The 24949-nt window shown below is 35.9% G+C and overlaps 1 protein-coding gene across 4 annotated transcripts in view; it reads left to right on the top strand.

Annotated features, from left to right (window-relative positions):
- CCDC73 (coiled-coil domain containing 73) overlaps positions 1-24949 on the top strand; it is a 227865-nt gene that overhangs the window by 129157 nt on the left and 73759 nt on the right. For all 4 annotated transcript variants that reach the window (XM_047427029.1, NM_001008391.4, XM_047427030.1 and 1 more), the window contains 3 exons: positions 603-638; positions 2104-2178; positions 17855-17893. In XM_047427029.1, the coding sequence (XP_047282985.1) occupies positions 603-638; positions 2104-2178; positions 17855-17893 (150 nt within the window). The remainder of the gene's footprint in view (positions 1-602; positions 639-2103; positions 2179-17854; positions 17894-24949) is intronic.

Genomic DNA, 24949 nt, shown 5'->3' with positions numbered 1-24949 from the left:
ATGCCTGGCCTTTAAAATGTCATTATTTTTTTAAACAGGTCATAATTTGTTAGGCTGCACATGAGTTAAAAAAATTCTTGAACATAAATACTGTCAATGATAATACAAATGATTCTGATTTACGAAATTGTACCTTTGGAAAATGATATAAGCTGTGATTTAGGAGTGGATGGCAAAATATTCAGATATTTAAGAAAAATTTCTGGAGGAAAAAAACAAAACTTTCAAAGATAATTGGTATCTCTAATCAGTGTGATTAAATTGCTAATTTTGAACTGGGTGTGGTGGTGTGTGCTCTAGTCTCAGCTACTTGGGAGACCGAGGTGGGAAGATCCCTTGAGCCCTGGAGTTGGAGTATAGCCTGGGCAACATAGCAAGACCTCATCTCAAATAAATAAATAAATAGTTCATTTACTTTAGTGACTGGCTTTTTTCTCGTTTTATATCATTATTATTTATTTTCTGAATCTGAAAATAACATATTCACATTATTTCCATTTCAAACAATATAGATGTGTAAAGTGTTTCTTTAGTCTCAGTGACCAGTATAGATCACTGTTAACAGTGATCCCTTTATTTTAATTTTTAAAATTGTTTATCAGTTGCAGATGAAGATGTGTGCCCTGGAAGAAGAAAAGGTATTTATAATTTTTTTAAAATTTTCTGTCTATTAAAAAGTATTTACTTTTACAAAATAATTTAAAACATAGCTAGATGCCTTTTATTATCCATTGTTTACCATAAGAGAAAAGAGCATTAGTAACAAACTAATAGAGATGGTTAACTGCTTAAAATCTTAGAAAGGACCCAAGATAATCATGTTACTTCACTTCCATCATTTACAGTTCAGAATATAGAGGCCTAACAAGATTAAATGACTTGCCAAAGGTCTCACTTTGAAGTGGCAAAATTGGGACTAGAACCCAGATCTCTTCAGGCCCCAAATTAATGTTCTTCCCATTCCACTGCAGTGTTTCTATTAACCATGATGTTTTTAGTGCTTTTTCAATGGAACTACTGTCTTTAAAAAATATGGAAATGACTTGCAACTGGGTGCAGACCAACTGGCAAAGGGGATAAAGCTCCAACAAACCTAGAAATTTATCTGACGCTAAATATTTTCTCTAGCTATTTAATAGTTAATACATTTTTTATTATATCAATGAACATACCATTAATAATAATCACTTATGGTTTATTTTTAGCCAAAGGTCTTCTGTAAAAAATTCTCCCATATTTTTATATTCATTAGATAAATACCACCTGTATCTTATTAATTAGAATATATTTATTCTAGTTGTATGAATTAAATAATTATAAAGTGTCTGCAAGTTCTCAGGTAGGATGCTCTACTGATAAAATGATTTGTCATTATAATAAGACATTCTATTTCATGATAATTGTAACCATATAAAGGCCTTATTATAATTTTATATTTTGAAATCTTTAGAAATGTAATTTGTAGTACAGATGGAAGGTTAAAGCCTGTGAAATATTTGGTTTAAAGTAGAGATTTTGGTTCTTTTTATATATATATATATATATATATTTTTTAATCTAAGTTCTAGGGTACATGTGCACAACGTGCAGGTTTGTTACATATATATACATGTGCCATGTTGGTGTGCTGCACCCATTAACTCGTCATTAACATTAGGTATATCTCCTAATGCTAACCCTCTCCGCTCCCCCCACCCCACAACAGGCCCCGGTGTGTGATGTTCCCCTTCTGTGTCCAAGTGGTCTCATTGTTCAGTTCCCACCTATGAGTAAGAACATGTGGTGTTTGGTTTTTTGTCCTTGTGATAGTTTGCTGAGAATGATGGTTTCCAGCTTCATCCATGTCCCTACAAAGGACATGAACTCATCCTTTTTTTATGGCTGCATAGTATTCCATGGTGTATATGTGCCACATTTTCTTAATCCAGTCTATCATTGAGATTTTGGTTCTTGAGCTCTTATATTTTACCCTTTGTATTATTATTTACATTAGAAAGTATTGAAATACAGTTTTTTACTTAAAGGGTTCTTGAGCTCTTATATTTTACCCTTTGTATTATTATTTACATTGGAAAGTATTGAAATACAGTTTTTTACTTAAAGGGAAAATATCAACTTGCTACAGAAATAAAGGAAAAAGAAATAGAAGGATTGAAGGAAACATTAAAAGCACTACAGGTAAAAATAACTACGTATTGTTTAAAAAGTAGTTTGGTATTTTAGCATTATATCAGTAAAATGCCTTTAGATATGTAAGCTACAAAGCAAAGCTGACAAAAGTTTATATCTAATATATTACATAATTTAATACTTTTTCCTGAGAGCCTTGTTTTAAATTTAGTTTTGCTTTACCATATTTTATTTTAAAAAGAAATATTAAAATAATTTTTAGTATATCTTATTAATATAGTTAAATAGATACATTTTTAACATTTTACACATAAGGAAAATGAGTAAGGCATATATATTGTGACTGATTTACCCATGGTCCTTAAAAATTAAAATAGCATTGAATTTTTGCTATGTGCTAAGTACTGTGCTTATTTTCTGCAAATACAAAAACTAAGAAAACATTACCTTTGCCCTTAAGTTGTTCGTAGTCTCTTAGAGAATACAGAAGTATTTAACTAATGATGATTCATTCAATATATATTGAGGGTCTACTATGTGCAAACACTTTTCTCAGCATTGAGGATACAGCAATGATAAACAAGACAAAAATCTCTGCCCTTGTGAAGCTTAGTCTAGTGGGGAAGACAAAAAGTAAAATGAAGTAACTAGTGAAATAATGATTGTTGGGAAGACGATATTCATGCCATTTCAAACAGATAACATTAATTACAAAGAGCAAAATATATTTTTACATTAGAAGGATCCTGAAGGTCACCACTTCAATCAAGTGATCGAGTCTAGCAATGTTAATAATGAAACAGCTTTTCCATGGATCCACTGTTATTATGCAATAAGGAGGACCGAACTTCACCTATGTAATTTTCTTGCCAAAAATATTTGAAATCTAATTATGATAAAAACAATTAGACACAATCACAATGTGTGGCACATTCTATAAGACATCTAGGCTGGACTCAAAAAAACTTCAGTGTTGGCTGGGCGTGGTGGCTCATGCCTGTAATCCTAGCACTTTGGGAGGCCGAGGCGGGTGGATCACGAGGTCAGGAGATCGAGACCATCCTGGCTAACACGGTGAAACCCCGTCTCTACTAAAAATACAAAAAATTAGCTGGGCGTGGTGGCGGGCGCCTGTAGTCCCAGCTACTCGGGAGGCTGAGGCAGGAGAATGGCGTGAACCCGGGAGGCGCAGCTTGCAGTGAGCTGAGATATCACCACTGCACTCCAGCCTGGGCGACAGAGTGAGACTCCGTCTCAAAAAAAAAAAAAAAAAAAAAAAAAAAAAAATTCAGTGTTAGACAAAGAAACAACAGACACTGGGGCCTACTTGAGCGTGGAGGATGGGAGGAAGGTGAGGATCAAAAAAGGACCTATTGGGTTCTGTGCTTATTACCTGGGTGATGAAATCATCTGTACAACCAACCCCCGTGACACGCAATTTACCTATATAACAGACCTGCATATGTACCCCTGAACCTAAAAGTTAAAACCAAAACAAAAAAAACTTCAGTGTCATGAAAAAAGAAAGGGGAGCTACTTTTGATTAAAATAATAAAGATAGACCAAGGTAGCAGATCACTCAAAGTCAGGAGTTGGAGACCAGCCTGGCCAACATGGTGAAACCCCGTCTCTACTAAAAATACAAAAATTAGCCACGCATGGTGGCAGGCGCCTCTAGTCCCAGCTGCTCAGGAGGCTGAGGCAGGAGAATCGCTTAAATCTGGGAGGCAGAGGTTGCAGTGAGCGGAGATTACGTCACTGTACTCCAGCCTGGGTGACAGAGCAAGACTCCATCTCAAAAAAAAAAAAAAAAAAAAGAATAAAGAGATATAACAACCAAGTGCTGTAATATGTGAACTTTCATTGGATCCTGGGTCAAGAATAAAACCAGCCATAAAAAATTGGAGAGGACAATTGGGATATTTGAATATGACCATATATTAGCTTATGTTATTGAATTATTATACTAGGTATAATAATATCATAGGTATAATATTATGATCATATAAAAGAAAGTTCTTATTCTTAGAAAATGTATGATGAAGTATTTAGGGTGAAATCACCTATTAGCTGCAACTTACTTTCAGATAGTTCAGAAAAAACAAAAAGTATGTGTATGTATAAACACAAAGGAAAGTATGGAAAAATGTTAACATACATCCTAAGCTAGGTGTGGTGGCTCACGCTTGTAGTCCCAGCACTTTGGGAGGCTGAGACTGGAGGATTGTGTAAACCCATGAGTTCGAGACCAGCCTGGGCAACATAGGGAGATCCTGTCTCTATAAAAAACTGAAAAAAAAAATTAGCTGGGTGTGGTGGTGAGCACCTGTAGTCTTAGCTACTCAGGAGGCTGAGGTGGAAGAATTGCTTGAGCCCACAAGGTCGAGGCTGCTGTGAGCCATGATCAGGCCACTACACTGTTTCAAAAAAAAAAAAAAAATCCTTGTGTTTTTTATCAACAAAAAAGTAGTGATCAGAAACTCTAGGGAAAACATAACTGTATGAGAAAGATATAAAGCAAGTTAAAATTTGGGATGGTTCTGAGCAATTGATGGAGTGTAAGAAGAGAAGAGGCCGGGCATGGTGGCTCATGCCTGTAATCCCAGCATTTTGGGCGGATGGATTGCTTGAGCCCAGGAGTTCAAGACCAGCCTGGGCAACGTGGCAAAACCGCGTCTGTACAAAAAAAATATATATGCAAAAATTAGCCAGATATGGTGGTGCACGCCTGTAGCTCCAGGCTACACAGGAGGCTGAGGTAGGAGAATCACTTGAACCCAGAAGGTTGAGGCTGCATTGAGCTGTGATTGTGCCACTGCACTCCAGCCTGGGTAACAGATTGAGACCCTGTCTCAAAAAAAAGATATTTAGGTCTTGACCATAATTAAAAAAAAGAAGATACTTAGGTCCTGATCATAATAAAATAGTTATTCAAGTAGCACACTGGACCTATATAGAAGGAAATGTTGTATTAGTACCCTGTTAGACTCATGCATTAAATGATACCTATATTGATTGTAATAATGTAAACACTGTTGGTTTCCATTTTTAGAATTAACCTATAAATGAAGCATGGAAAACTTAATTATGGTTACCAAATAAGACTTAAAATGTTATTAAGTTTGTTAATACAAAAATAATGATGTAGCAAGAAGTTGAGGTTGATAATCCAGCAATAATCTTTCAAGCTGATGAAACAAGAAATAAAGGTCCAAGTTTACTATTTGAAGTTTACATAGGTATAAAATTTAGTGATTCTAACCATACCTCACATATCCAGGTTAAAATGATACTAGTAGCTAAACATTTTTTCTTACGATTTGGAAAAATTAAAAATAAAATTTTATAATTGAGAAAACAGAAATGACCATTGTAGCTCATGTAAAAACTCCTCTGTTTTCTTTTCATTTTTTCAAGTTTCAATTTTCTTATGTTTTTAAATCTAGGACTAGTTAAAAAAAAACAAAAACAAAAAAAAAACTTAAACGCTTACTTCAGCCCAGGGTCTTTTTTTTTTTTTTTTTACAACCAAACTAAAAATTACTACATGGGAACATCAATGCAACAAACAACGAAAATTTTTAAACTGAAGCCACACACTTATAGTTAATAATCACGGTAAGGGACATTGCCAAAGAGCAACTGATGCCTCAGTGAAGTTTGAAAGAAACTCTACCTACTGTGAAGGCAGAGAAGAAAGAGGCAATCAATTCTGCTTCAAAGAAATCTGCATAGAAATGGAAAATGCTAACGTCTTTACCACAAGTGAAACTGCAAAGCCTCAACACATTCAACTCACTCCACAGAGCACCAAATGTTAAATTGGAGCCAAGGTAGGATTGAACATTTAATTTCCAGCTATGCAACTTGCCAAGCACAACAGTTCAGGTGTGGAAACCAGCTGTAGGCAAGCTCTTTTTTTTTTTTTTTGAGATGGAGTCTCACTGTGTTGCCCAGGCTGGAGTGCAGTGGCGCGATCTCGGCTCATTGCAACTTCTACCTCCTGGGTTCAAGCGATTCTCCTGCCTCACCCTCCTGTGTAGCTGGGATTACAGGCGCATGCCACCATGCCAAGCTAATTTTTGTATTTTTAGGAGAGACGGGGTTTTGCCACGTTGGCCAGGCTGGTCTTGAACTCCTAACCTCTAGTGATCCACCCACCTTGGCTTCCCAAAGTGCTGGGATTACAGGCGTGAGCCACCACACCCGGACAGCAAGCTCTTTTAAAAACATTATACACCATAAATTCTAAAACAGAACACTTCTGTGTTACTGTTTGAGTTTCAGAAGGGTACCACAAGGCATCAGGGTCTTTGAAAGTCACTTACGGCAACAGTTGCATCTTCCCAGCCTTGGTAGCCCCCTTTCACGGTTCTCTAGCCTCTGGACACACTGCGGCACACCACTTTGTAGAATGACTTCTGACATTAAATCCAGTCATGGCCTTAGTGACATGAGGCACCTAATTTTTTTTTACAGTCTCTTGAACTGGACATACTTATATCTTTTGCCTAATTTTTTTTCTTGGTGTATCTTGAAAAATACTACATTTTTTTCCTACTAAAAGGTTGTCAGTAAGAGAATTTGTTCATCTTGCTTAAGTACTTTGTTCTTTTAACATTCCTTCTTAAATTGTTTTGTTGTCATTCATACGTATTTAATTATCTGGACAATATAGAAAGTATATTTTTAATTGTTTTTTTAATTATACTTTAAGTTCTAAGGTACATGTGCACAATGTGCAGGTTTGTTACACAGGTAAACGTGTGCCACATTGGTTTGCTGCACCCATTAACTCATCATGTAAATTGGGTATTTCTCCTAATGCTATTCCTCCCCCAGGAAGGAAGAGCATGGAATGTTCTTCCATTTGTTTGTGTCCTCTTTTATTTCGTTGAACAGTGGTTTGTAGTTCTCCTGGAAGAGGTCCTTCACATCCCTTGTAAATTGGATTCCTAGGTATTTTATTGTCTTTTGTAGCAATTGTGAATGGGAGTTCACTCATGATTTGGCTCTCTGTTTGTCTGTTATTGGTGTATAGGAATGCTTGTGATTTTTGCACATTGATTTTGTATCCTGAGACTTTGCTGAAGTTGCTTATCAGCTTAAGGAGATTTTGGGCTGAGACGATGGGGTTTTCTAAGTACACAATCATGTCATCTGGAAACAGGGACAATTTGACTTCCTCTTTTCCTAATTGAATACCCTTTATTTCTTTCTCTTGCCTGATTGCCCTGGCCAGAACTTCTAACACTATGTTGAATAGGAATGGTGAAAGAGGGCATCCCTGTCTTGTGCCAGTTTTCAAAGGGAATGCTTCCAGTTTTTGCCCATTCAGTATGATATTGGCTGTGGGTTTGTCATAAATAGCTTTTATTATTTTGAGATGCGTTCCATCAATACCTAGTTTATTGAGAGTTTTTAGCATGAAGGGCTGTTGAATTTTGTCACAGGCCTTTTCTGCATCTATTGAGATAATCATGTGGTTTTTGTCATTGGTTCTGTTTATGTGATGGATTACGTTTATTGATTTGCATATGTTGAACCAGCCTTGCATCCCAGGGATGAAGCCGACTTGTTCGTGGTGGATAGCTTTTTGATGTGCTGCTGGATTTGGTTTGCCAGTATTTTATTGAGGATTTTTGCATCGATGTTCATCAGGGATATTCGTCTAAAATTCCCTCTTTTTGTTGTGTCTTTGCCAGGCTTTGGTATCAGGATGATGCTGGCCTCATAAAATGAGTTAGGGATGATTCCCTATAGAGAGTATTTTCAAAGCAAAAGAAATTCCTTCATATGGCTGACTTTCTATGCAAGAGGCATAAGGATTTATTTTGCCTTATTCAACCCAGAACATAGTACAGGTAGATGTATAGGATACCTCATGGTCTGCTGAACATGATACATGAATAGAGTAGAGCAATGAAGATACTTGTGATTTCTCCCAACCCCCCAAGTTGAAACTTAAATAAAATTTCTGTTCAGTTAAGGATCTGATATAAATCCACTAGGCAAGGAAACCTGTTAACCACCGTGTAGCAACTTCCCTCCCTCCTTTAGTTTGCTAGTTACTTACTTCTCTTTCTCCCTTTTTCCTTTCATAAGATCATACTCTGGTATGTGCTAGGCACAGGAATAAGAAACCAGATAGTGCCCTCTCTTATGGAGCTCATAGTCAAGAGACTCTACTTACTGAATTCCAACACAGAACACAAAAACCATATTCCAAAAAGACCAACTAATTTAGCTTTAGTGAATTCTTTCAATGTGTTCCATTTCTATTTAAACATAGTACCTTGTTAGTTCATTTCAAAGGGATGGGCTTGGAGCAGGGCAACCTTCTTACATCTAAATTACCTGACAAATAAAACTTTACTTATGAAAACAGTATGCTTAGAGGGCTTAATAAAGATACTTTGCTGATTGTCCTGTAGATTTTAAGTAAACTATTTCTATTAATGACTTATTACATAGTCCTGTGGTAAGACGCTTTCTTTCTCAGCTTCAGTTTTCCTTTAGGTAAAATGAAGAAATTGAATTCCATTAGTATTTCCCAAACAAGACCATTTTGTAAAACAGTGTCTGCATTCTCTACCCTGGATAATAGAAGTGAGGAAGTGGAGGAGAGAGTTTCATTCACGCTCTCAGAAGAGGCATGAATAAAGAGAGGATAGGTAGATGTCGTAAAACCCAGATTGGGAGTAATGGGATAGATGATCTCTAAGATGTTCAGCTCCAAAGCTCTATTTTATTACTTTATTTCATTAAATTTAAACTTACTTAATTTTATATATTATATTAATTCCTCTTATAGAACCAAAGCGATATTTAATATATAACATGTTATTTCTAGTTTTGAAGCCTAATTTTATTAGGCCATACCTAATCACATGGACAAAAGGAAATTAGATTTCTGGAGCTTTGAGTTTATACATTTATGCATGAGGAATTCTTAGATATTTGGGTAATTTTATAGTCTGGAGAAAGATAGAAGGAAATGTAATAAAAAAGCAAAGTTCTGAAAGTTGAGAAGGTGAAAAATGCATCCTTCTCAACAAATGGTGCAGGAACAGCTAGATATCCATATGAAAAAAATGAATCTAGACACAGATTTACACAAAATTTAACTCAAAATGGATCACAGACCAAAATGTAAAACACAAAGCTAAAAAACTCCTAGAAGAAAACGTAGGAGAAAATCTAGATGACCATGGGTTTGCTGATGGCTTTTTTTTTTTTTTTTTTTTTTGTGAGACGGAGTCTTGCTCTGTTGCCCAGGCTGGAGTGCAGTGGCGCTATCTTGGCTCACTGCAAGCTCCACCTCCTGGGTTCACGCCATTCTCCTGCCTCAGCCTCCCAAGTAGCTGGGACTACAGGCACCTGCCACCACGCCCAGCTAATTTTTTGTATTTTTAGTAGAGACAGGGTTTCACCATGTTAGCCAGGATGGTCTCCATCTCCTAACCTCGTGATCCGCCCACCTCGGCCTCCCAAAGTGCTAGGATTACAGGCGTGAGCCACTGTGCCCGGCTGACTTTTTTGATACAACACGAAAAGCATGATTTCTGAAAGAGTTAATAAGCTGGACTTCATTAAAATTAAAAACTTTAGCTACTCTGTGGCTTGTCAAGAGAATGAAAAGACAAGCCACAGAGTAGGAGAAAACATTTGCAAAAGACACCTCTGACAAAGGACGGCTATCCAAAATAACAAAGACCTCTTAAAACTGAACAATAAGAAAACAATCTGATTTTAAAATGGGCCAAAGATCTTAACAGACATCTCACCAAAGAAGATATACATACAGATGGCATATAAGTTTATGAAAAGATGTGCCACATCATGTGTCATCAGGGAAATACAAATTAAAACAACAAAGATACACTACTCACCAACTATATGACATTCTGGGAAAGGCAAAATGATGGAGGCAGTAAAAAAATAAGTGGTTGAGGCCAGGCACAGTGGCTCACACCTGTAATCTCAGCACTTTGGGAGGCTGAGGCAGGCAGATCACCAGAGGTCAGGAGTTCGAGACCAGCCTGACCAACATGGTGAAACCCCATCTGTACTAAAAATACAAAAATTTGATGGGGTGTGGTGGCAGGTGCCTGTAGCCCCAACTACTTGGGAGGCTGAGGCAGGAGAATCGCTTGAAGCTGGGAGGTGGAGGTTGCAGTGAGCCGAGATCACACCATTGCACTCCAGCCTGGGGGACAAGAGTGAGACTGGTCTTGAAAAAAAAAAAAAAGTGGTTGCCAGGGGTTGAAGGAGGGAGAGATAAAAAGACAGAGTACAGAAGTTTTTTAGGGCAGTAAAAATACTCTGTATGATAGTCTAATGGTGGACACATGTCATATACTTGTCCAAACCCATAGAATGTACAATACCAAGAGTGAATTCCAATGTAAGCTGTGAACTTTGGGTGATAACGATGTCAGTGTAGGTTCATTAATTGTAACAAATGTACCTGTATTAGTCCATCCTCACATTGCTATAAAGAGCTACCTGAGACTGGGTAATTTATGAACAAAAGAGGTTTAATTAACTTACAGTTCTGCAGGCTGTATAGGAAGCTTGACTGGGAGGCCTCAGGAAACTTAAAATCATGGCGGGCGGGGAAGTAAGCATGTCTTACCATGGCAGAGCAGGAGACAGAGACTGCTAAGGGGGAAAGTGCTACACACTTTTAAACAACCAGATCTCATGAGAATTCCGTCATGAGGCAGCACTAGGGGGACGGTGCTAACCATTAGAAACTGCCCCCATTATCCAGTCACCTCCCACCAGGCCCCTCCTCCAACAACGTGGGGATTACAATTTGACATGAGATTTGGGTGGGGACACAGAGCCAAACCATATCAGTACCCCTCTGGTGGGGGATGTTAATAATTGGGGGTTATGTATGTGTGGGGCAGGGAGTATATGGTATATCTCTTTACCTTCCTCTGGATTTTGCTGTGAACCTAAATCTTCTCTAAAAAATTCTTTTAAAAATCATTCTCAGTCCTACAGCTTTCTAAATTGAATTACAATAATTTTTATTACTAAAATATTTGTGTGTTTTCTTTTCTTATAATTTAAGAGTTATTTTGTGACGTGAAAATTAATATATTTTTTGGGAACAATTTAAGTCATTATCACTTCAAGTATTACCTTCCCCAACGAGTCTTTATATTTTCTCCTTTCAAACTCCTAAGAAGATATATTTTGAATCTTCTCATTTATCCTCCATGTCTTTATACCTTATATACTTTCTATTTCTTTATGCCTGTGAGCATCTTATGTAATTTTCTTTCTTTTTGAGATGGAGTCTTGCTCTGTCATCCAGGCTGGAGTGCAGTGGCGCGATCTTGGTTCACTGCAAGCTCCGCCTCCCGGGTTCATGCCATTCTCCTGCCTCGGCCTCCTGAGCAGCTTGGACCACAGGCGCCCGCCACCACTCCCGGCTAATTTTTTGTATTTTTAGTAGAGACGGGGTTTCACCATGCTAGCCAGGATGGTCTCGATCTCCTGACCTTGTGATCTGCCCACCTCAGCCTCCCAAAGTGCTGGGATTACAGCCGTGAGTAATTTTCTTAGATATATCTTTTAGTTCACTAATTCTTCAACTATGTTTTATCTGCCATATAACTTATGTTTTAAGTTTTTTATTTATAATGACCTTTTTCTTTTATAGATGTTCTATTTGGTGCTTTTAAAAATCTGCCTTTTTCTAGTGTCTTATATTTTTTCATATTTCTTATTTATCTTTTATGTCTCTAATCATTAAAATATTTTTAATAATATCTTTGAGATTCTTCTGTTATTTTTAATTATTGGTGTGTACAAGTCTTCCTGTTTGCAGTGGCTACCAGCTAATGCTCCTTCATTGTAAATCTTCCTTTTTAATGTGGTTCATACATTTTAAATTGTGAGCCCCTCTTTAGTGGAGGCTGTATTTTTCTGATGAACTTGTGGAATTCTTCCTACAGAGCTCTTTTGCATTTGCTTCTGTTCTGAGCCTCAAGGGTTTCACAGAACAGTTTCTGGTTGTTACCTTAATTTATCATCTAGGATGTACATACCATGCAGGGAGTATATATTATTATTAGGACTTTATACCCTTTTGTACTCCAAGTTTAGGTTTTTCTGTTTCTCATGGAATAATTTTTGGTTTTGGACCAGTGATCTAGGCAAAGACATTTTTTTGTGTTGGTAGGTTAAGTTCTTCTAGTCTTCCTTTCTTGGAATTAGCTGTTCTTCTAGATTCCTTTCTCTATACCAGTGTGCTAGATCCCTTGGCTTTGTGCCCACATGGATATTAAAACCCTGACTTTGCCATGACAGCCTATATCTGTATGTAGGGGTTTCTGGATTACCAAAGCATCACCTTGCATACTTACAACTCTGACTATGGGTTTTCTGTCTTATTTTTGATGTCTGACAATTTCCTTATCTTTCTTTTGAACTTCAGCTGTATGTTAACTTTTTTTTATTGATGCTATATATTTTTCAAACATTTCATATTAGTTCATTCCACAATGTTTTTAAGAATCACTTAAGTTTTTTTCTTTTGAAAGTATCATAAACTTTTAGAGATATTGGAACTACAATACAAAGAACTTATTTTCCTGAATGATTTTAGAATAATTTGCCAAACTGATGCTCTATCATCTCATTACCATAGTATATCATTCTTACAATCAGGGACATTCTCCTGTAAAACCATAACACAGCAATCAAAATCAGGAAGTTAACATTGGTACATAACTGGAATGTTCAGGACTCATTCAGTTTCACAAATTGTCCCATTAAAGTATTTTTATAACAAAAGGATCTAGTTTAGAATCCTATGTTTGTATTTAGTTGTCATAGCTCTTTAATCTCTTTCAGTCTGGAAGACTTTCCTAGTCTTTGGTTGAATTTTATAACTTTGACACTCTTGAAGATTACAGACCATTATTTTGTAGAACGTTCCTCAGTTTCTGTTTGTACAATGTTTCCTCATGGTTAGATTCAGTTTATGTATCTCTGGAAGGAATATCACAGAGGTAATGCCATATTCTTCTTATTGAATCCTATCAGATAGTTCAATTTGTTTTATTATTGGCGATGTTCACTCTGATAATTTGACTGAGGTAGTATCTGACAAGTTTCTCCACTGTAAAGTTAATCTTTTCTCCTTTGTAATCAGCGTGTTTTGTGAAGAGAACTTTGAAACTATGTAAATATGTCATTTCTCACCAAACTTTTAATATATTTATTTATATCAATATAGACTCATAGTTTCCTGTTTTGTACAATGGATTAAAATATTTGACTATCATTTATTTTTATCAAATTATTCTTGGTTTGGCCAGTGGGAGTCCATTCAAGCTGGTTGCTGAGTATTTTTTGACATGTCTTCATCATTCTTTCAGCATTTTTCTGCTTTCAGATAAAAATAAAATGTACCAGGATCACCTCATACTTTACCTGATCTTGCCCTGGAAAAAACCATTTCTCCATGTTACCCTGGTTCCTGTTAGTAGAAAAAGGTATATAGAAACCAAGATCTGAGTGCTATTGCAATTATTGCTGTTGGAGTGTCATTGTTCTCACACCCCCTCAGTCGACAGAGCTAGGAAATATATGTATATATTTACATACATATACACATACACACATATACTTACAGTTATATGTATTTTTATATCAATCTATGTATGTATATTGAAAACCATTAATTTGCACTGCTGCAAATTACAATCCCAAACTACAAGGATTATTTTAGTTTATTTCCTTTATTTATACTTTTCTTATCTTTCAATGAGAAATCTGACTTTCATTATCACTAAGACGTTGACTTATTTCATAAAACACCCTGTTACATAACCAGTCCACCATTCTGCTGCCCCCTCTTTCCTTATGTGGATGTCCTCCTTTTCCTGCTTGGATTCTGACACCTTCAGCTGGGTTGCCCTTTTGCAGGGTCACCCTCCTCACCTTACTTAGTTTCTGACTCCCCACAGTAGACTGCCCTCCCTTACATGGGAAAATCCTCTTTTCTCCATTCAGGCCTGTTATTCTGTTCCGGAATGCTCTAGACACAACCCCCTCACCACTTCCTCACATACCTTATTGTACCTAACCTAATGGACTTCAGAGCTGAACTGTTTAAGAAGAGGAAGGGGTTAAATGTTTTAAGCACAGTATTTGGGGGACTTTATTCCCAACTAAAATAAATTCAATAAATGGAAAATTAATGGGAAAATAAGATTTTTTTCTCTAAAGCGGTGTGCTTTTCAGTCAGCTTTTCTTATAATTTTCCATAAAGTGAAGGATAACTATAATAGGAAAACATTTGCATTTTATTTTTGAAGCTGCCTTCTATAGTTAATGCATTAGCATCAGTATAGTTTTGTTCTGATATTAGAAGTATGCCTATATGTGATATTAACCAATTTTTAAATAATTAAAATATTAAATATAGCAACTATAAAAACACTACATGTCAATCCAATTATATTTTCAAATTCATCTATGTGTCAGAAATGCAGCTATGTGGGAGTTTATTAGTTGGGCAATGCTCTAGAGGTATTGATAAAATATAGCTGTGGATTGTAATTGAGAAAGAATAAAATGCAGAGATAATAAGGTGTGTGAAGAACGGTGGCCTGAAATAATGTGGTAAATTTGCTCTAGATGTAGTTTTATCTTTGACTGATGGTAGCAGATAATAAATTCAGGATTAGAGTAATACATTGTCTTCTGAATTTTGTCTTTTCATTTTTTTCCTCTTATTTTTCTAGATGACCTCAAAACATTTCCCTTTGCTTTTGTGCTGAATGCCTTAAAAAGTACTCTGATCTCATCCAGGCTCGTGTCTTTAAAATGGTATCTACATACAGAAGACTTCTAAATGTACATCTCCTAACCCCTAATCCATCCTACATTAACTATTTGCCATCTCTGCTTGGATCTCTAAAAGACACCTCAAACTTGACATGTTTAAAATTAAGTTTCTAAAATCCTGCCTCCTGAAAACTGGCTTATTTAATCTTTTCCATCCTTGTTAATGACAACTCTCTTTTTCCAGTTACTGGTTTTTTTTTTTTTTTTTTTTTTGGCTTTCCCTCAGAGTGTATCTAGCATCCAACCACTTCTTATTTCATCCACTACTAACACCCTAGTCCTCCTTCATCATCCTCTTTCATCTGGATTATTGCAGTAGCTTATTAAGTGGTTTCTCTTGCCACAAACTCTGTTCCCTTCTAATGTGAATGTAATAGAGTGAGTCTTTAAAAAGCTAAGTCAGGGCCTGGCGCGGTGGCTCACGCCTCTAATCCCAGCACTTTGGGAGGCTGAGGCAGGCAGATCACGAGGTCAAGAGATCGAGACCATCCTGGCTAACATGGTGAAACCCTGTCTCTACTAAAAATATAAAAATTAGCCAGGCGTGGTGGCACACACCTGTAGTCCCAGCTACTCGGGAGGCTGAGGCAGGAGAATTGCTTGAACCTGGGAGGCAGAGGTTGCAGTGAGCTGAGATCGCACCACTGCACTCCAACCTGGTGACAGAGCAAGACTCCATCTCAAAAAAAAAAAAAAAAAAAAAAGCTAAGTCAGGCTTTGTCACATTCGTCCTCAGAACTCTGTAGTGGCTTTCCATCTCATTAGTTGTAAAAACCAAATCCATATCACACATAACGAGGTCTACAATGATTTGGGTCCCCTTGCCTTCCCTTGCCCCTCTCTGAACTGCTCTTCTTCACCTTGCTTATTGTCTTTCAGCCACATGGACTTCCTTGCTATTCTTTAAACACACTAGGCCTTATTCCACATTAGGGAACTTGCTGAAATATTCTTTCTTACTTCTATCCAGGTCTTTACTCAGAATTTGCTATCTCAGAAAGGAGTTTCCTGACTGTCCTGTGTAATCGTCTTCCCTGATTTATCGTTTTTCTTTAACACCTATCAATATCTAATATACTATATATTTTAACTTATATTGCTGATTTTCTTGCCCAGAATTTAAGCTGGGCAGGAGTTTTTTTTTTTTTTTTTTTTTGGTCCAGTGTTGTACCCCCAATGTCTATATCAATGCTTTACTTACAATAAGCATTCAACATTTATGGAAGAAATAAATCATATACAACCCATCCATTAAAATAAAATAAAATAAAATCAGCTCATTCATGGCAGTAGGCTAAAAAATTTATTTCATAGGAAATGTGTAGTAATTATTGTACTTTTGCTTAAAGTTTAAAAAATATAAGTAGGATTTAAGAAGATGAACACTCATACATGGCTGGTTGGCATTTAACTTGGTCAGCCACTATATATATATATTTTTTTTGACAGAGTCTCATTCTGTCACTCAGGCTGGAGTGCACTGGCGCAGTCTCAATTCACTGCAACCTCCACCCCCCGGGCTCAAGCAGTCATCCTGGCCTCAGCCTCCCGAGTAGCTGGGATCACAGGCACACACCAGCGTACCCAGCTAAGTTTCGCTTGTTTGTTTTCAGACTTTCACCATGTTGCCCAGGTTGGTTTTGAACTCCTGGACTCAAGCAATCCAACAGCCTCAGCCTCCTAAAGTGCTGGAATTACAGGCCTGGCTTTTGTAACAGTTTAAAAAAGCCTATAAAAATTAACAAATCTTAGAAATTCTGCTTCTTGGAACTTATCCTAATAAAAAGAATAACTTTAAAAGTCTAGATACAAGCATGTTTATTTCAGAATATTTCATAATAGTAAAAGACTCAATTCAGTAAACCTATAAACATGAGTGATTAGGTAAGTTATGGTAAAGTTAAAAAATGGAATACTGTGTAGCCATTAAAAAGCTATATTGTACATTAATTTGTCACAGAAAAGTGTTTATTATATATTAAGTAAAATGGATTATAAAATAGACGTTTATTATCAGTTTCTACTGGCTCTTTTTTAAAGTATAAATGTATGTTTTTAAAAACCTGGTAGAGTGGGGCATGGTGGCTTACACCTGTAATCTCAGCACTATAAGAGGGCAAGGCTGGAGGATCTCTTGAGCCCAGGAGTTCAAGACCAGCTTGGGCAACATAGTGGGACCCTGTCTCTAGAAAAAATTTTAAAAATTAGCCAGGTGTGGTGGCATGTTCCTATAGTACCCAGCTACTTAGGAGGCTGAGGTAGCAGGAGGATTGCTTGAGCCCAGGAAGTTAATGCTGCAGTGAGCTGTGATCATCCTAGTGTATTCCAGCTTGGGTAACAGTGTGACTGTATCTTAAAAACAAACAAACAAACAAACAAAACCTGGTAGTACCAAAGTGTTAATGACTGTTATCTGTGGATTGTGAGATGATCTGTTTGTTTAAAACAGTTGTTATGCTTGTTCTTTAAAAACTTTTCCTCAGTGAAGGGCTAATATGAAGTAACAAACTCCCCTAGACTGCTCTCTCTATCTCTCTTGCTTTATTTTTGTCTTAGTGGTTATCACTCTCTAACATGCATACCTTTTACTTATATTTGTCAGTCTATCACCACCCCCACTAGAAAGTAAGTTTCTTAAGGGCAGGGACTTTGTTTTGTTCACTGCTATATTCCAGGAGTCTAGGAAAGTATCTAGCATATAGTAGGTGCCATAAATGTGTGTTGAATAAATCAATAATGGTACATAGAAGATACATGCCACATTTTATAGCACGCACTTTTGATATCAGAGGAATTTGTGTAGATAATTAAAGTATTTTAATGAGATTTTTCCCCCTTATTTTTCAAGGTTTCTAAATACTCTTTACAGAAGAAAGTGAGTGAAATGGTAAGGAAATTACAAAACATATTTTCCCCCATCTGGATTAGTACTTAGGGGGATTGGTGTTTTTGGGAATAAAATGTGACATTTATAGTGAAAAAATTAATTGTTGAAACTGAATATTACTGTCTCCAGTAATATGAAAGGGGATATTTGCAATTTCACATGTTGCATAAATGAATTATTTCACAAATTTATTTCGAGATTACATAGTACTTATACAGGTTGAGCATCCCAAATCTGAAAACTCAAAATTTGAAATGCTTCAAAATTGGAAACTTTTTGAGTGTCAACATGATGCTCTAAGAAAATGCTCATTGGAGTATTTTGGACTTTAGATTTTTGCATTTGAGATGCTTAACCCGTAGGTATAATGCAAATATTCCAAAATCCCAAAATATCCCAAATATGAAACACTTCTGGTCCCAGCATTTCTGATTAGAGATATTCAACCTATATGTTTAAAATAAATTTTACACAGTTCCCAAATTATTGTTAGGGTCTTATAGTAAAAACAAATAACAAAACTCTAAAACCTCTTATTTTAATGGTATCTTTTCTAGATATTTATGTAAACATGTAATTATTAATTATAGTGTGAAAAAATTGAAATGTATGAAGTAGTATTTAGGATATAATATTTATCCCTTATCAGTGTACACTTGGGATATGGTACTGATCCTATATTGTTCAACAAATATTTATTTACTGTGCATTCCTCTTTTATAGTCTGTTAAAAACTAATGTTTTTGCTTTTTACAGCATAACATTTTAGGGAATATTTACTTTGATATTTTTCCCTTCTAGCTCTATTTTATTCAGAAGGATTTTTTTTTCTGTGTTTTTGGTTGAGCAAAATTTTCCTATATCCACTCAAATTGTCAAAGGGCTTTTTGGGTGGGGCTATGCTATTCAGTCTTCATTCTTTGGAGCAGACTGTAAAGCAAGTAAAATTAATTTTTGAGTAAGGCTTATATATTATATACATGAGAAGTAAGAAATGAACTATCACCCCTTCTGACATTACATAGAAAAACATAAAGTATTTTGCTTCTTGAAATTGTTTGGTGTGTTAGAAAATAAGAGTCATAGACTGCTAAGCTTGATTGAATAAAAGATGTGAAAATTCTGTTGCTATTCAACTGGAAAGAATAAAAATAATATTGTCAGACTATTTTAAACCATGATTTTAATTAAGAAGCTGAAAAACTAGATTCTGGTTTAGCTTTAAGTACCATGACATTTGTACTGAAAGTCATCTTCAACGCTACAGTGGTTTTACACAAAATATAGTGAAATTGAATAATGTGCCCTTTGACCTGGGAGATAAGGCTACAAGTTAAAGATCAAAGGCAACATAAAATGTGTTTTATTTTATTCCACTTTCAAATTTCATCAAACAGATACTTACAATCTTTAAAAAAAAACATGGAAACATGTATATACTTATTCTAGTTTTTGGTCACTTCTAAGCTTTTTGTTATTGTGAATTACAACATTTATACTTACTAAAATGATATTTCAGTTATAGTCATAATATTTTTTCTGACAGTTTAAAGCATTGCATCACTTTTAATTTAAAAAGTTTTATATGTTGGTATATATATTTAATATTTTATATTCATTCTGGCAGAACATTTATATTTTGGATTTAAAAGTTAGAAGTACCCCTTTTTCTAAGCATTCTTACTTATATTCATTTTACATTATTCCTGTTACATTATTATTATATAATTCAGATGACTTGTTCTTTATTCAAAGTGCGGTATAGTATTCAGTAATTCAGTTAATCTTATTTTATTCCAAGCAGTACATTATTCTTTTATGTTATTTGGTTCTATGGGCAAGACAGGAAACAAGATAGCCACTAGTGTGAAGGCACGACTTTGGGGAGCAATAAAGTTAGGGTCCTAAAAGAAATAACTTGAAAAATACTATTAAGAAAATTTCAAGTTTATGAGCTCCTATAGGTAAGTCCTTAACTACTAGTAAGTTTCTGTCTTCTGTGATTCAGTAAGCTGATTTTCTTTTAGAGGTGGTGATAGGTTCTGAGATAAATTAACATAATCACAAATCAAACGATTTTTCCATCCCTAAAAGTACCTCCCCTTTGAAAAAATCACGATCATTACCAATTAAAAGGATGCAATAAAAACATGTGAGAGAGAAATCTTAGGACATTACATTCACCATCATTGTGATCTGGTCATTGATACAAATTTTTCCTGCTGTGTTTAGTGATTACTACATAGATGACCATGTTGGGTAATAATTGAATTTATCGGTGTCTGTGTTGTAAAACTGAATAGCTAATATAGCTTAATGAAGGAAGTAAACTTATCAAACCATTGTCGTATTGTTTTTCTCTTCTGTATATCATTTTCCTCTAAATAAAAGATTTACAAGAAAGCCTTTTTCTTTATGAAGTTAAAGCAATTTCAATATTGAAAGTTTTGATAGATTAAGAATAACCACATACTTTCTTTCCCAGTAGAATATTTTTAAACTGAAGACTTATCTGGAAGTAACTTCATAATCATAAATATTATGTATATATGTACACACATATATTAGCAGCATGACTTTAGGTTTTTAAAGTAATCTATGCCTCATATTTGCAACTGAAAAGGTAAGGATATCTTAAGAAAGATGCCATAGATTTTTGAAAATTGAGTTTTATAACTCCATTGATTTAGTTTGGGTTCATATTGAAGAAATTAGAAGATTAGTTACAAAATTGTAAATGAGTGTGTTAAATTTATATTTTGATTGTTATCTTTTCCTCTAAAGTTTACTCTTAACAAACTGATTGTTTTAAGGGAAACTAATTTTATCTCCAGAAGTTTTCAAATCAGTCTCCTTAAGTAAATAGGAAAAGGGAGAAATGTGAAGCTGTGCATTTTATCAGTAAATATATTTCTAAAAAGTTGTGTGTAAATATTTTTACATTATTCCCATTTTAAATGCTTCAAGGCTTTAAAGTAAGCTTTTAGACTACACACATACATATAATTATGGATATGCTATTTTTCCGCTAATCTTGACTTTCATAGATTAGATTTGTTTAAAATGAGGTGTACATGTGTTTAGGAAGCAATGAATGCTGACATTTTTTGTAGACTGTGTTTGCATTTGATAGTAAAACTACGTAAAAGAAAAAATAATTTGAGTCGATTCATGCAGATAGAAAAACCAAACAATATGTACTTAACTATTTCTTAATCATCTCAATAAAATAGCCTTATAATACATTAAAGTTTTAATAGTAAAAATCAATTTATTTGTATTCTTTAAAATATTCTTACATCTCTAAAGTGTTATTACCACTTACTTTTTGTTGTTGCTTTTCAGAGAATTTAAACCATTTGTTGATAGTCATGAAATTAGTGGCAAACTGGACAATGGACCTCTTCATCTCATTTTCAAAACTAAATCAGGGTAGTAAACTACGTTCATATAGGCATATATGGGCTAATATGCTGTAGGTGCCTATGTGATTTAGAAGTCTTAATGTTATATATCATGGCCATTGAATAGGCTAATGTGTTTGAAAATCAGAATTATGTCATGCAAACAAATGCAATGAAACTGCATTTTCATTAAATTCAATTTTTGCCCCAAAGAATGTTGGAAGAGTGTATCAGAAATTACTCTAATGTATATAAAGCTCTATGCATGAAATCTCCTTTGATCTTTGCTACATTTTTAGTTAACAGAATTGTTAACCTTTGTAGGCATTGACTACCTATTTTATTCATCACTTTTTAGCTGAAAGGTTAAGAAAGCTTTTGTGGGATCATGTATTATGCAGTAGAGAGTATTCTAATGAAGGCTACGTAAATATTGATTAGAATCAAAAATCAAAACTTCCTTGAATTGGCCGGGCACAGTGGCTCACACCTGTAATCCTAGCACTTTGGGAGGCCAAGGCGGGTGGATTGCCTGGGTTCAGGAGTTCGAGGCCAGCCTGGGCAACACAGTGAAACCCCGTCTCTATTAAAATACAAAAAATTAGCTGGGTGTGGTGGTGCGCACCTGTAGTCCTAGCTACTCGGGAGGCTGAGGCAGGAGAATTGCCTGAACCTGGGAGGTGGAGGTTGCAGTGAGCCGAGATCGTGCCACAGCACTCCACCCTGGGTGACAGAGAGAGACTCCATCTCCAAAAAAATAAATAAAAAATAAAAACTTCCTTGAATTGAAAAAATGCCATTAACCCAGTTTTCAGTGAAATTGTGTTAGGTTTCTAGACATCTGCTGAGAGCTAATATAATTCTCTCAATCAGAAATTAAGGGGTATTTTAGAAGAAAGCAATATGGTTCATTATTGCTCACCATTACTAATAATAGTAACTACCCAGGTAGGCATAAGCTCTCCAGGACTAAGTACATTTATCAACTTGTTTGCATTGATAACTGCTGCACAATTAAATAAGTAGTTAAAAGCCTGATGACATACATGAGAAATTTTCAACTGATATATCATAATTATTACCAATAATATATCATGTTTAAAATCATTAAAAAATAGCTTTGAAAAAGTTAAGACTGTCATCAGACTTGCCAAGATAATATAGTTAGGTACAACTTAAATTGTAATGTGTGTTCTTCGTGTGTGTGTCTGTGTGTGTGTGTATATATATATATTTTTTTTTTTTTTTTGTGACGGAGCCTTGCTCTGTCACCCAGGCTAGAGTGCAGTGGCGTGATCTCAGCTCACTGCAACCTCTGCCTCCTGGATTTAAGTGATTCTCCTGCCTCAGCCTCCCCAGTAGCCGAGATTACAGGTGTGTGCCACCATGCCTGGCTAATTTTTGTATTTTTAGTAGAGACAGGTTTCACCATGTTGGCCAGGCTGGTCTCGAACTCCTGACCTTGTGATCCGTCCACCTTGGCCTCCCAAAGTGCTGGGATTACAGACGTGAGCCACCATGACCCAGCCCTTCGTGAATATTTTTTAAAAGGCCATGCTTATTCTAAATAAAAGTTAATTAAAACTACCAGTTAAGGAATAATAACAATCATTTTATTGTGATTTTTATATGATGGGCTTTGCTTTTTAGTGCTTTATTTATATTAATTCATTTTATCCTCACAGCAACCTTATGAGTGAAATACTATTATAAACTTCTTCCTAAAAATAGGGTAGATAATTTACCCAAGGTCACCCTAAGTTGCAGAAACAAGATGTAAACATAGGCAGACTAGCTTTTGACCACTGTGCTCTACTACCTGTACTTTGGTTTTTCTTTTCTTTTTTTATTTTGAGACGGAGTCTCACTCTAGTGCCCAGGCTGGAGTGCAGTGGTGCAATCTTAGCTCACTGCAACCTTTGCCCCCAGGGTTCAAGTGATTCTGCTGCCTCAGCCTTCCAGGTAGCTGGGATTACAGGTGCCCGCTGCCACATCTGGCTAATTTTTGTATTTTTAGTAGAGACAGGGTTTCACTATGTTGGCCAGGCTGGTCTCGAACTCCTGACTTCAAATGATCTGCCTGCCTCCACCTCCCAAAGTGCTGGGATTACAGGCCTGAGCCACTGTGCTCGGCCTGTACTTTGGTTGTGGGTTTTTTTTTTTTTTTTTTTTTTTTGAGATGGAATCTTGCTCTTTTGTTTGCCTAGGCTGGAGTGCAGTGTCACGATCTTGGTTCACTGCAACCTCTGCCTCCTGGGTTCAAATGATTCTCCTGTCTCAGCCTCCTGAGTAGCTGGGATTACAGGCGCGCATCACCATGCCCGGCTAATTTTTGTATTTTTAGTAGAGACGGGGTTTCACCATGTTGGTCAGGATGGTCACGAACTCCTGACCTTGTGATCTACCCGCCTTATCCTCCCAAAGTGCTGGAATTACAGGTGTGAGCCACTGCGCCTGGCCTGTACTTTGGTTTTAAGCAATAAGAAATGGCTCTGGTTAACTTATGTAAAAGGAAATTTAGGGGAGGCATTCACAATCAACCAGAGAATAAAGAATTGCTTGAGAATGAACAGGGGACCCAGAGTAATTCCAGAGTTTGTGAGGCAGGATGTAGGGACCCACAACAGAGGTCTCATATCAGTTCAGATAGGATCACTACTGAACTTCTCTAGTTTTAGATAGTCTTTTTGCTCAAGATTCAAATTCCAAGAAAGTAGCTATCAATTGGTTTATTTTGAGTAATATGCCCTTCTGTTAATTAGGGAAGAATAGGACCCCTGAATTTTAGTCCTGTTGTAATGTTTAGTCCATGTTGTAATGAAGTTTAGTCCATGTTGTAATGAAGAAAAAGTATTTCAATAAAGTAAATAGTGGTGCTGTTAGGTAAGGGAAATGGATGCTGGCTAGGCAAAATCAAATTTTTACTATTAAAACTCTATAAGACAACAACAGTTCATTCAGAAAACAATTATTGAGTGCCAGTTCATGGGCCTATACTGTTCTTTGTTTAGAACTGCTCATCATAGAAAGTGAAGCAGTTGGGAAAAAAAATGAATGAAAGTTGTGAAACCAATTAATGATTCTGCTAATGTCAAGTGAAGATAAAAAACTTCTAACAAGTGTTATTGATTTTATTAACATAATATTTTTTAAGAGTTAAAAGTCATATCGCAGGTATGGTAAGAGTAGTTCCTTTAGCTGAAAGCAGTAGAGGCCCATATAATATTATATAAGTAAGGTCTAATTTTTACCAATTATGTCTCCAGTTTAAGTAGACTATCTACTATCATATGTTGCCTCCCTGTCACTGAGAGATATCCTTGTCATTTCATTTCTTTTTCTCTTTTAGCGATGGGGTCTTGCTTTGTCACCTGGGCTGGAGTTCAGCGGCTGAGCATAGCTCACTGCAGCCTTAAACTCCTAGCCTCAAGCAATCCTCCCACCTCAACTTCCCAAGTAGCTAGGACTACAGGCATGTGCCACCATGCCCAGATAACTTGTTTTATTTTTGTAGAGATGGGGTCTTGCTATATTGCCTAGGCTGGTCTCAAACTCCTGGCCTCAAGCATTCTTCCTGCCTCATCATTTCATTTCTTAATGCAGTGAGAAGGTACTATATTAATTAAAATCAGTCTCAGAAAAATTACTTGAA

Source organism: Homo sapiens, chromosome 11 (genome assembly GCF_000001405.40).
Source record: "Homo sapiens chromosome 11, GRCh38.p14 Primary Assembly".
In the NCBI taxonomy this organism is placed as follows: Eukaryota; Metazoa; Chordata; class Mammalia; order Primates; family Hominidae; genus Homo; species Homo sapiens.
The sequence above is the reverse complement of the archived record's forward strand: the minus strand, read 5'-3'. Positions and strand labels throughout refer to the sequence as shown.